Source organism: Homo sapiens, chromosome 1, assembly GCF_000001405.40.
Source record: "Homo sapiens chromosome 1, GRCh38.p14 Primary Assembly".
NCBI lineage: Eukaryota > Metazoa > Chordata > Mammalia > Primates > Hominidae > Homo > Homo sapiens.
The window spans coordinates 230,296,055-230,309,582 of NC_000001.11; the positions used below are offsets into that span (position 1 = coordinate 230,296,055).

At 47.0% G+C, this 13,528-nt stretch overlaps 1 annotated feature.

Annotated features, from left to right (window-relative positions):
* Positions 10,258-10,347: a silencer, noted in NCBI's record as "silent region_1939". NCBI's record gives its function as "represses an Ori minimal core promoter by ATAC-STARR-seq in GM12878 lymphoblastoid cells {active_cell/tissue: GM12878}" and the evidence as "EXISTENCE:reporter gene assay evidence [ECO:0000049][PMID:35858748]".

Genomic DNA, 13,528 nt, shown 5'->3' on the forward strand with positions numbered 1-13,528 from the left:
AAAATTAAAAATTAAAAAATGAGCCAGGTGTGGTGGCACATTCCTGTAGTACCTACTACTCAGGAGGCTGAGGCAGGAGGATCACTTGAGACCAGGAGGTTGAGGCTGCAATGAGCCACGTTTGAACCATTGCCCTCCAGCCTGGGCAACAGAGCAAGACCCTGCCTCAAAAAGAGAAAGACAGAGGGAGATTTTACACACAGAGAAGAGAAGGGAATGTGAAGATGGCGGCATAGATTGGAGAGATACGTCTGCAAGCTAAGGAACACCAGGAAACGCCGGCAGCCCCTGGGAGTGAGAAAAGGTGAAGAACAGATTCTCCCTGAGTCTCTGTAGGGAGTGCAGCCTCAGAAGCCTGGCCTCCAAAATTGTGAACATTTCTGTATTGGTTGTCTCTTATGGGTTATTGTTGGTTATTGTCTCTTATGGGTTATTGTTGTCTTATATGGGTTGTTGGCACCCAGCAAGCACCCAGGCCCTTCCAGCCACTCTTGGCAGTCGGTCATTTCTTTCCATAAAAGATAAAGAACGCTTCACATCCCTTGTAAGTTGGATTCCTAGGTATTTTATTCTCTTTGAAGCAATTGTGAATGGGAGTTCACTCATGATTTGGCTCTCTGTTTGTCTGTTATTGGTGTATAAGAATGCTTGTGATTTGTGTACATTGATTTTGTATCCTGAGACTTTGCTGAAGTTGCTTATCAGCTTAAGGAGATTTTGGGCTGAGACAATGGGGTTTTCTAGATATACAATCATGTCGTCTGCAAACAGGGACAATTTGACTTCCTCTTTTCCTAATTGAATACCCTTTATTTCCTTCTCCTGCCTAATTGCCCTGGCCAGAACTTCCAACACTATGTTGAATAGGAGTGGTGAGAGAGGGCATCCCTGTCTTGTGCCAGTTTTCAAAGGGAATGCTTCCAGTTTTTGCCCATTCAGTATGATATTGGGTGTGGGTTTGTCATAAATAGCTCTTATTATTTTGAGATACGTCCCATCAATACCTAATTTATTGAGAGTTTTTAGCATGAAGGGTTGTTGAATTTTGTCAAAGGCCTTTTCTGCATCTGTTGAGATAATCGTGTGGTTTTTGTCTTTGGTTCTGTTTATATGCTGGATTACATTTATTGATTTGCGTATATTGAACCAGCCTTGCATCCCAGGGATGAAGCCCACTTGATCATGGTGGGTAAGCTTTTTGATGTGCTGCTGGATTCTGTTTGCCAGTATTTTATTGAGGATTTTTGCATCAATGTTCATCAAGGATATTGGTCTAAAATTCTCTTTTTTTGGTTGTGTCTCTGCCCGGCTTTGGTATCAGGATTATGCTGGCCTCATAAAATGAGTTAGGGAGGATTCCCTCTTTTTCTATTGATTGGAATAGTTTCAGAAGGAGAACTACAAACCACTGCTCAATGAAATAAAAGAGGATACAAACAAATGGAAGAACATTCCATGCTCATGGGTAGGAAGAATCAATATCGTGAAAATAGCCATACTGCCCAAGGTAATTTATAGATTCAATGCCATCCCCATCAAGCTGCCAATGACTTTCTTCACAGAATTGGAAAAAAACTACTTTAAAGTTCATATGGAACCAAAAAAGTTGGCCGCATCGCCAAGTCAACCCTAAGCCAAAAGAACAAAGCTGGAGACATCACACTACCTGACTTCAAACTATACTACAAGGCTACAGTAACAAAAACAGCATGGTACTGGTACCAAAACAGAGATATAGATCAATGGAGCAGAACAGAGCCCTCAGAAATAATGCCGCATATCTACAACTATCTGATCTTTGACAACCCTGAGAAAAACAAGCAATGGGGAAAGGATTCCCTATTTAATAAATGGTGCTGGGAAAACTGGCTAGCCATATGTAGAAAGCTGAAACTGGATCCCTTCCTTACACCTTACACAAAAATTAATTCAAGATGGATTAAAGACTTAAACGTTAGACCTAAAACCATAAAAACCCTAGAAGAAAACCTAGGCATTACCATTCAGGACATAGGCATGGGCAAGGACTTCATGTCTAAAACACCAAAAGCAATGGCAACAAAAGCCAAAATTGACAAATGGGATCTAATTAAACTAAAGAGCTTCTGCACAGCAAAAGAAACTACCATCAGAGTGAACAGGCAACCTACAAAATGGGAAAAATTTTCGCAACCTACTCATCTGACAAAGGGCTAATATCCAGAATCTACAATGAACTCAAACAAATTTACAAGAAAAAACAAACAACCCCATCAAAAAGTGGGTGAAGGATATGAACAGACACTTCTCAAAAGAAGACATTTATGAAGCCAAAAGACACATGAAAAAATGCTCATCATCACTGGCCATCAGAGAAATGCAAATCAAAACCACAATGAGATACCATCTCACACCAGTTAGAATAGCAATCATTAAAAAGTCAGGAAACAACAGGTGCTGGAGAGGATGTGGAGAAATAGGAACACTTTTACACTGTTGGTGGGACTGTAAACGAGTTCAACCATTGTGGAAGTCAGTGTGGCGATTCCTCAGGGATCTAGAACTAGAAATACCATTTGACCCAGCCATCCCATTACTGGGTATATATCCAAAGGACTATAAATCATGCTGCTATAAAGACACATGCACACGTATGTTTATTGCGGCACTACTCACAATAGCAAAGACTTGGAACCAACCCAAATGTCCAACAATGATAGACTGGATTAAGAAAATGTTGCACATATACACCATGGAATACTATGCAGCCATAAAAAACGATGAGTTCACGTCCTTTGTAGGGACATGGATGAAATTGGAAATCAACATTCTCAGTAAACTATCTCAAGGACAAAAAACCAAACACCACATGTTCTCACTCATAGGTGGGAATTGAACAGTGAGAACACATGGACACAGGAAGGGGAACATCACACTCTGGGGACTGTTGTGGGGTGGGGGGAGCGGGGAGGGATAGCATTAGGAGATATACCTAATGCTAAATGACGAGTTAATGGGTGCAGCACCCCAGCATGGCACATGTATACATATGTAACTAACCTGCACATTGTGCACATGTACCCTAAAACTTAAAGTATAATAATAATTAAAAAAAAAAAGATAAAGAACCCAGGGCTCAAGGGGAACCCACGATTGCTCAAGATCATCGTCAATAACAGAGCTTGGTGGAAATTCACAAGTACTGACTCCACGGCCAGAGATCGTCTCTCCACTGGAGAGCGACTTCCTCCCTCTGGGTATGTGGCCTGTCAGTTTGACAACCAGGCCCTGCCTCCACTCCTTTAAATGCAGGGTCAGCCTGAGGGAGGGAAGAGGCAGAAAAAGGGCCCAGAGGTGCCAGATCTTCCTACAGTGGCCCTGTGCCAGGCCGTTCACCCAGAGGGAGGGTCTGCCTTCCATGTGCATCCCAACTGTCCTTTCTTTCTGTGTCTCCACCCTGGCTGTGAGGCTCTTCCCAGCAGACAGATCACAATGGACCTGTCCCTGTTATGATCCTTTGTTTGGTGACAGATAAACTGGGCAAAGTCTAAAGGCTGCCCCTGAGACAGTACTCACGATTACAATGATTTTTCCAGCCGCGTCATCCTTTTAAACTTTCATTTGACTTCCTGTTCCTCACGAGCACAGGGAGAAATGAGGGCTCCGTTCCTTGAACCAGAAACACAAAAGGGAGTTCTCCAAGCTGATCTGTGCCTGTGCATTTGGCAAGGACAAAAGCAGATGCTCTGATGTGACTGTTTCCTGGTTCTTCCTCTTTGCATTGAAACCTGCTCTCTCCGCTCTTCGGCAAATTCGCCCCGAGGAAGTAAGGTGCTGGGCACCTGTCACCACTGTATTGACTTGAAACTCCTGAATGTGCCCACTGCCCTCAGAATCCCTCCGGGGCCTGAAATCACCTCCATATTGATTTCTTGTTGCTGCTGTAACAAATGACCTCCAACTTGGTGGCTGCAACAACACAAATGTAGTACCTTACAGCTCTGGAGGTCAGAAGTCTGACACGGCCTCCCTGGGCGAAAGTAAAGGTGTCTGTAGGGCTGCAGTCCTTTCTGGAGGCTCTGAGGGAGGATTCCACTTCACACTGTGCCCAGCTTTTAGAGGTGTCCATGCCCCTTGGCTTACATCCCCCCATCCATCATCAAAGCCAGCAACGTTGCACCTCCTGCGTTCTTCACAGCCGTGTCTCCGCTGTAAACACAGCTGGGAAAGGTTCTCACTCACAAGGACCCTTGTGATGACACTGCACCCACAGGATATTCCAGGGTCCTCTCCCTGCCTCACAGACAGCTGATTGCAACCTGAACTCCTCTGCTACCTGAATTCCTGTTTGCTGTGAAAAGTAACATAGGCTTAGGTCCTGGGGATTAGGAGGTGAGCCTCTTTGTTTCGGGGTCGGGGCTCCTCGTTCTGCCCACCACACCTCCCATTAAGGCTTGCCATCATGATGGGCCATTACTGAAATGAGGGTGTTACCTGGGCAGTCGGGGTTTAAGGCCATCCCCACCACTGCGCACCAGCCCGCTGATCATGAGCACGGTGCTGGTCATAGTTTTTGAGACAGGGAGGTCCTAGAAGGCTCCAACAGCAGGAAAGGTAGGTTTCTCTAGCACTCATGGGTGGATGCCTTAGAAATAAGAGAGAAACAAACAGCCTCTGGGCCTTGAGAGGTTTAGATTTCCCATTTGAAGCAGAGGTGGTGTGGAGGGGAGGGCCGGGGCCAGCACCTGTTCAGAAAATGCATTCCCCAGAGATGGAAGCAGGTGACAGTGTTCTCACATTAGTTGTGCTGAGAGAAAAAGTCCTTCGTTCAGCTGCGCCCAAGGCTTTATTCACAGACTCCCGTCTCTCCCAGGGGTGCTGGAAAGACCTTGGGGACCTCCTCACCCTTCTTGCTGGAAGATGCCCGTACCGCAGCGCACGAGACCCCAGCTTTTCCGGGGCGGCTGCACTGTCAACTCAATGCCTAGCAAGGATGCGTCCGGCTGGGCATAAAGACAGCCCGGCCCGCTAAGCAGAGAAAGCTTCCCCTTCACCACCAGGCTGCTGACAGGTGTGAGTGGGGCAGGGCAGGGAGGAATCACTGAGGCACACCCAGGAAGCCTGACGAGAGGGGCCAAGCTCTGTCCGGACGTGGTGGCTGAGCACCCTGCAGAGGCTCAGTGGCCCTGGCAGCCCCTCGCCTGCTCTCTGGAGGCCTTTGCTCTCTAGTCCCCTCCCTTGAACTCTGAACTTCCACGGGTGAGGGGGGTGATAGAATAATGGCTTTATTTTCCCAGTCTGAAAAAAATAATATAGAAGAAATAACAGCTGGGCCTTCCTCTGCATGGAGTTTCCGCTCCCACGAGCATGTCCGTGTTTAGCATCGGCAGCCACCTGGCCATGCTGGACTCGGTGTGGCTGTGTCTGCAGTCGCATAGACATTTATGGTATTTCCAGTGGCCTGTCAACAGTGCCTGGTGTTCTCTAACAAGTGCTGTGGACTCCAAGGGCCTGACCACCTGCAGGGCTTGAGAACCACAGTTCAAGCAAGGTGAGACAGGGTCGGCAAGGCTGGCCTTGGCGTCTCCACAGGTCAGTTGGTCCTCAGCCAGGCATGCCACCCTGTGGGCTTTGGGGCTGCTTTCCCTCTGGAGTCTAACTCAAAGCCTTTTTTTTTTTTTTTTTTTGAGATAGAGTCTCGCTCTGTCACCCAGGCTGGAGTGCAATGGTGCGATCTCTGCTCAATGCAACCTCTGCCTCCTGGGTTCAAGCGATTCTCCTGCCTCTGTCTCCTGAGTAGCTGAGATTACAGGCACCCGCCACCACACCCTTTTGTATTTTTGGTAGAGGCCAGGGTTTCACCATGTTGGCAGGCTGGTCTTGAACTCCTGACCTCAAGTGATCTGCCTGCCTCAGCCTCCCAAAGTGCTGGGATTACAGGCATGAGTCACCACGCCCAGCCTGGAAGCCTCTAAATGAGCCAGGTGTCCCTGTGTCTTTGAGAGCACTGAGGGCTGGGCTCCAGTGGGCAGGGCAGCCCATCCGCGATGTCAGCACATGGATCTCTGGCTCCTTGTTAGACAGGAGCTCTGTACAGTAGAGTGGCGGGAAGGTCACAGAGCCCTCTCTCTCTACAAGGTCTCTGAGTAAAAAGTGCCTGAAGTGTCCACCTCCAGCACCGCAGCATGCTGGAATTGCCGGCTGTCTCTCGAGTTTCCTTTTAGAACCTTCTCTAGAGCTCTGCGATTCACAGAATGGATTCACAGCTGCTAGAGTGGTAAAACCCATTGCAGATTGTTCAGACGATTAGAAAAAATTCTCTTGTATGGAGCCCAAATTTGCCTCTAATTCTGACCCCTGAGCTATATTGAATTAGTTCAGTCTTCTTCTCATGGCAGGTTCAAATCTTTAAAGCTGATTGGAGACCTCAGCAAGGCCCTTCCAGTTTCCCCACTTCTTTATGGAAGCTTCTTCCCAGTTGGGATGCACCTGAGACAGCCCCTCCTCTAGATCCGGCCTTCTTTACTCACTCCTCCTACAAATCAACTCAGGGGGGGCCATACTTTGAGCTCTGTGCTCTCTCAATTCAAATTGCACTTTTAAGAAGTGACAACAATGACCTCTGAATTTCACGTTGCCTTGTGTATTTTCTAAGTGGTTCCATAGAATGAAAGCAGGTTTTTCCAGGTTGGCTAAAATCTACCTGCAGCCACATCTTAGCCATGTGGTATAATAACTAAAAGTATGGGCCATGGAATCAGGCTGCTTGAATTCACATCCTGGCTTGATCACTTACGAGCTATGTGTTTTTGAGCAAGTTACTTAACCTCTCTGTGCTTCAGTTTTCCATCTGCCAATTAGTGATAATAAGAGTGCCTACCTCAAAGCGTTGTTGTTAGGATTAAATATTTTTAATCCTAAATTAATGTGTGTTAAAGCCTTTAGTAGAATGTGTGGTTCTTAAAAAGTGGCATTAAAACGATGTCAGCTGTTGTTATCCTTAAGCTTCTCTGCAACCCCAGAGTACCCAGAACTGTGTTGAGGACCCACTGTCTCCCAATCAGTAATCATTAACGGGTCCAGATACTGTAGCACCATATGAAAGCACCCGGGTGTCTTAATACAGTATCTAGTCTCAACTTTCATCCTAAGGATGGTGAGTCTGGGGTCACAGTAGACCTCACCATCCATCAAGTTGGCCATCACTTCCTTTGAGGGCAGCCCCTCGAAAACACACGGACAGCTCACCATCTGGTGGACAGATTCACAGCTGCTGGAGTGGTAAAGCTCATTGCAGATTGTTCAGACCATTAGACAAAATTTCCTTGTATGGAGCCCAAATCTGCCTCTAATTCTGACCACTAAACTGTACATCGAATTAGTCCAAGTCCTCTCCTCATGGCAGGTTCGAATCTTTGACACTAAGGAACTCTTCTAAAAGCCCTCGGTGGTGCTCTAAGTGACAAGGCAAGACGAAGTGACTTAAATAAGAGTAAAGGACACTGTGCCACTCTGGAAGTGAGGGACTCAGCTTCTGACCCCAGCCTGCACAGACTCCCCAAGGCCTGGGAATTGCCCTTTCTTAACTCTTTCCTACAAAATAGATCCTAATTTATGAGTTTCCCCCTCTCTTCCTCAGTGAGTCCAGACCCGGCACTGGCCTTCTCATGCCTGGTGGGGGCAGGTTGGCTTTTCTGCAGCCACACTTGCCTCTGTTCCATACTTTCTCCACCTAAGAGTTAAAGTAAGGTTTGTTTGTTTCAGGTGGGGTCTTGCTATGTAGCCCGGGCTGGCCTTGAACTCCTGGGCTCAAGTGATCTTCCCGAGTAGCTCAGACTACAGGGATGCACCCTGCACCAGGCTTAAAGTGAGTTTTTGAAAAGAGATCTCACATGAAAAGATGCTTGACATCATTAGTCATCAGAGAGGCGCAAATTGAAACCACAGTGAGACACCACTTCATACCCACTCAGAATCAAAGGGACAATAACAACTGTTGGCGAAGATGAGGAGCAATTGGAACCCTCATTCATTGCTGGTGAGATTGTGAAACGGTGCATCCGCTTTGGAAAACAATCTGGCAGTTCCTCAAAAGATTAGCTGTGGAGTCACCACATGACCCAGAGATTCCACTCCCTGGCCGTCTCCCAAGAGAAATGAAAATATATTAAATCCACACAAAAACTTGTACACAAATCCCATAGCAGCACTATTTGTGATAGCCAAAATGTGAAAATCAACCAAATGTTTATCAACTGATGATGGGTGGATAAATAAAATGTGATGTATGCCTACCTGGGAATATTATTCAGCCACAAGATTGAAGTACTGATGCACGCCACAGCATGGAAGAATCTAAGCAAAAGTAGCCAGCCACGAAAGGCCACATGTTATACAATATCACGTATATGAAATGTCCAGGATAAGCAAATCCGCAGGGACAGAAAGTGGATGAGCTGTTCCCAAGGGTTAGAGGGCGAGGGAATGAGGGGTGAGGAGTGGCTGTTGACGGGGATTATTTGGGGAATAAAAAAGATGTTCTAAGATTAGATTATGGTGATGATTACACAACCTCATAAATATACTAAAAACCACTGAACCTTACGCTTCAAATGGGTAGGCTTTTTGGTTCCTAAATCATATCTCAATAAAGCTATTATGTAAAAGTGAATTTTTAAGCTATTTTTTATTTTACAGTTTATATGTTTGATAGTACAATTTACATAATTTATCATGCATGTTTATATCTTAATAAAAAAAAGAAAGAAGAACATATTGGGCCAGGCTATTAAGGAGTAGCATAAGGGAGTTTCTTTGGGGAGATAGGACAGTTTCACGTCCTGACTGAGGTGGTGATTACTGGAGTCTACAAGTGTGATTAAATGTCATATATCTATACACCAAGAGGAAGGGACGGAGTCACTTGAACCCGGGAGGCGGAGGTTGCAGTGAGCTGAGATTGTGCCACTGCACTCCAGCCTGGAGACAGAGAGAGACTCCATCTAAAAAAAAAAAAAAAAAAAAAAAGCCAGACATTCTAAAAGCTTATCAATGGGGGAATAATTTTGTTATCTTTGTACATATATACTATGGCATATATTACATCATTTAAAAATAGCGTAGACACATGTAAATAAAGATCAATGATAAGAGAAAAAGTGACAAATATGTATAATCTGATCCAATTAATGTTTTTAAAAAAGAAAAAGGCTGCATGTATGTAAAAAGGCCTAGAAAGAGCTCTGAATAAATTTATTTTGTATTGCTATAAAGGAATATCGGACACTGGGTAATTTATCAGTAAAAGAGGTTTATTTGGCTCACAGTTCTGCAGGCTGCAGAGAAGCATGGCACCAGCATCTGCTTCTGCTGAGGGTCTCAGGGAGCTTCCAATCATGGTGGGAGGGGAAGGGGAGCTGTCATGTCATATGGCAAGAGAAAGGGAGCAAGAGAGAAAGGGGAGGACATGCCAGTCTCTCTTTATTTTATTTACTTGTTTTTGAAATGGAGTCTCACTCTTTCACCCAGGCTGGGGTGCAGTGGCGTGAACTTGGTCCAGTGCAACCCCTGTCCGCCTCCCAGGTTTAAGAGATTCTCAGGTCTTGGCATCCCAAGTAGCTGGGATCACAGGCACCCACCAAGAAGCCCAGCTTATTTTTGTATTTTTAGTAGAGATAGGGTTTCACCATGTTGGCCAGGCTGGTCTTGAACTCTTGACCTCAAGTGATCCACCTGGCTGGGTCTCCCAAAGTGCTGGGATTGCAGGCATGAGCTGCCAAGCCTGGCCCCAAGCTCTTGTTTTTTGAGACAGAGTCTCGCTCAGTCACCCAGGCTGGAGTGCAGTGGTGCAATCTTGGCTCACTGCAACCTCTGCCTCCTGGGTTCAAGCGATTCTTGTGCCTCAGTCTCTTGAGTAGCTGGGATCACAGGCACCTGCCACCAAGCCCAGCTAATTTTTGTATTTTTAGTAGAGATGGGGTTTCATGATGTTGACCAGGCTGGTCTTGAACTCCTGACCTCAAGTGATCCTCCTGCCTCAGTCTCCCAAAGTGCTGGGATTACAGGCATGAGCCACCGTACCTGGCTTCAGGCTCTTTTTAAACAACCAAACCTAAAGGTAACTAACAGAATGAGAGCTCATTTATTGCGATGGGGATGGCACCAAGCCATTCATAAGGGATCCACCCCATGATCCAAGCACCTCTCATTAGACCCCACCTCCAACACTGGGGATCACATTTCAACATGAGATTTGGAGGTGACAAATATCCAAACTGTACCAAGCTCTGAAAGTAAAACTAAATTGATGCACAGTGCTTACCTCTCCTAGACTCAGAGGGCGGAAGTCAATGCCCTCTCGTGGTGGGGGTGGAGGAGGGAAGGAAGACATGTGAAGGTCAATTTCATCATTTTATGAAAAGCATGAATACTAACGAGAATTTCTTATGATGACATGTCCAAGTATCTTTTGCTATTTTTTTTTTTTTTTTTTTGAGATGGAGTCTTGCTCTGTCACCCAGGCTGGAGTGCAGTGGCATGATCTCGCTCACTGCAAGCTCTGCCTCCCAGGTTTACACCATTCTCCTGCCTCAGCCTCCCCAGTAGCTGGGACTACAGGCGCCTGCCACCATGCCCGGCTAATTTTTTGTATTTTTAGTAGAGATGGGGTTTCGCCATGTTAGCCAGGATGGTCTCAATCTCCTGACCTCGTGATCCGCCCGCCTCGGCCCCCAAAGTGCTGGGATTACAGACGTGAGCCACTGTGCCTGGCCTTGGTAATTTAAAAAAAAACAAAAAACAAAACAAAACAAAAAAACAGGTTGTGCCAACAGCAAAATGGGAAAGGCAAGGATGTTTATTGACAGTCATCTACAATGACGGGAGTTTCACTCGTTGGTATCACGGGGACGACATCAAAAGCATCTGTAAGTAGAGTTGATACAGCCTTCCAAGGGTGTATCCCCAAACCTCACCTCTAGCCCAACGTGAAGCATCACAAACAAGTCAATGCTTTTACAGTAAACATCCCTTAGTTTACTGAGAAAGAAAAATTTAAAGTCTGGGGCAAGGACACTTAAGCTTAAACAGTTGCAGGTTGATGGAACCTTTGTAACTGATGAAATCTATGGACTTCTTGCCAGAAAGAAAAAGAAAGTCACATATACATACACAAAACAATATTTTCCTTACAAGTGGAGCCCTGAATTCCTGCCCTACAGAAGAAATAATGATTTTCCTGCCCATGAGGCCCTTCAGCACTGGGGCTTAATCCACTTTTTTGACTCGTATCCAACTACTCCCCCCACCACCCAACCCCATTCATTCATTGGCTCCCTCCCAACACCTTAGCTCACTCCCTGTCTATGTCGAAGGCCTTCCCTCCCTCCACTTTCCTGGCTGGCTCAGCTTCCCTCAAGTCCTAGTTGTCTTCTGGTCACCCCCCTGGAACTCACCGCAGCACACTCTAGCCAATCATTTCTGCCTCTGCCTGGGTCTTACTGGTCACGGCATGCTGGCATTCAGGAAATAGTTAAAGCTGCTTCTTCCTTGAATGACTAACCAGGTGAATGAAAATGAATGACAGCAAGCAACTAATTGTCATTAAACAGTTAATAGAAGAAAGTTCATCTATGTTACCTTTGGGGATAGTTTTAAATAAGAGAGGCTTAGAGAGTGAAAGCAGAGAGGATCTAAGGTTGGGGCAGTGGTGGTAAGTGTCTCTTTTGGGTAGAGAGGATGCTCAGGGTCCTTCAGATCCCATCAGGGGAAGCAGTGCCTGCTGCCTGGGGTTCCTTCCAGCAGGCACTTGATCACAATGTCAATCAAGTCTACTGTCTGCAGGAGCAAAGGAAGAATCCATTATTTGTAACTCACCCCTCCTGTGGGAGCCAATCCTCAGATAATGCAGAAGCCCTGAGGGGTCCCTCTATCTGGGCTGCTATTTCTTGGCAAGATTCACCTGGACCATTCTGGAAAGAATGCTGTTTGCCCTCGTACCAAAAAAACATTCAGAAAGAAAGATGCACCATCCTCCCTGCAAAGTCCTCTTGGGCTAACCACCCTGGGGCCTGTTCCTCGCTCTGTCTGCCTGGCGTTTAGACCTGTGCAAAGGCAGAAGAACCTTGTGATTTACTTGCAAGAGCCAAGCAGTGACTGGAGGAGTCTAACATCCTGCTCAGTGGCCAGCTGCCAGGTGGCCAGCAGCCAGGTCGTGTTTCCTGATGTCCACTCCCTATTGTGGTACAGTCTTAGTCATCACACCTAGTCAAAGCCTTCTGGTCTGACTTGGAGGCAGTGCCTCCTGGATAATCACTCGGACGCAGACAGTCAGCTTTGGGCCCGCTGGGTGTGCTGTACCCCTCTCCCGAATATCTAGCGAATTCTCAGCTCCTACTCTTGAACCAGGAGATTTGCAGGCATTAGTGAATCACTAAGTAGCAAGTGTTCCTTATTACCAAAAGGAAGGATGGACCCTCCACAAAGAGGGGCAGCTGGTGGCACACACAGATTTAAGAGGAGAGGGATTTCTTAAGGTTTAAGTGATCTTGAACCCTGCAGGGCTAGGGGTGGGGAGGCGGGAGGAAGGAGGGATCCAGGACTGGCTCCCGAAATCTACTCTGCACCTCCCAGCAATCCCAGGCCCTAGAGGAGGTGCTTTCAGTGAGGACTCTAGTACCTGGGTACTCCAGTTCCTGATGTCTCACAAGGACCCTGGGAAGAAAGCTAGGCAGGTATTCTTAGGCCCACTGTATAGCAGGGGAAATGAGGCCCAGAAAGGCTGTTGACTCCTTTAGGGTGCAGAGCATGTGCGGTGAGGCTGAACCTGAACTCAGGGCTACAGATGCAGTCTTGAGCGTGCCACCTGCACGCCCAGGTCGTCCAGGTATCAAAAGGCAAGTGCGAAACCCTCGGGGCACCACGAAACACTGGGAGTCAGCACTGTGGCTTGACAAGGCCCCAGGCCGCCTGTGCTCCGTGCCCCATGGTTTCTTGGGCATGGCCAGAGTCACCAGAAGCGGTGCGGGTCCTCGGAGAGCCCTGCAGCCCCCAGCCCGGCTTTGCTTCTCGCCATCTCACAGCAGTCTGTGGGTGCCGCCAGTCTCCCGCACATGCCACCACATTGGCCAAGGAAAGGCTCGCAAGTGAGACATGAATTCCCCAATTAAGCTTGCTGGAATTGTGCCCCAAAATAAAGAAATTAATTAAAGTCTTTTTGCCAGCATCAACTGGGCCGGAGGTGGGCTTGGACGCCCCATCTTGGAGCTCACGCCTCCTTCTGAGAGCGCATCCTTAGCTCCCTGGCATCTTGTGCATTGGAGGCAATAAAGGTCCAAGGCAGGGAAGACCTCAGAAGCTTGGGTGGCTCCACTGTGTCCCTGCTGCCTGTTGGTGACCCACAGCGTCCTATGGGTCAGGGGAAGGCTAAGCTGTCCCGGGTCAGGAGGCACAACCTCCTTACCACCTTGACTGTGTCCCTGCAAGTTAACCAATGACACAGAACAATCCAGATGTTTGTTGGGTGTAGTGGCGGGAAGAGCCATTTGCTCCT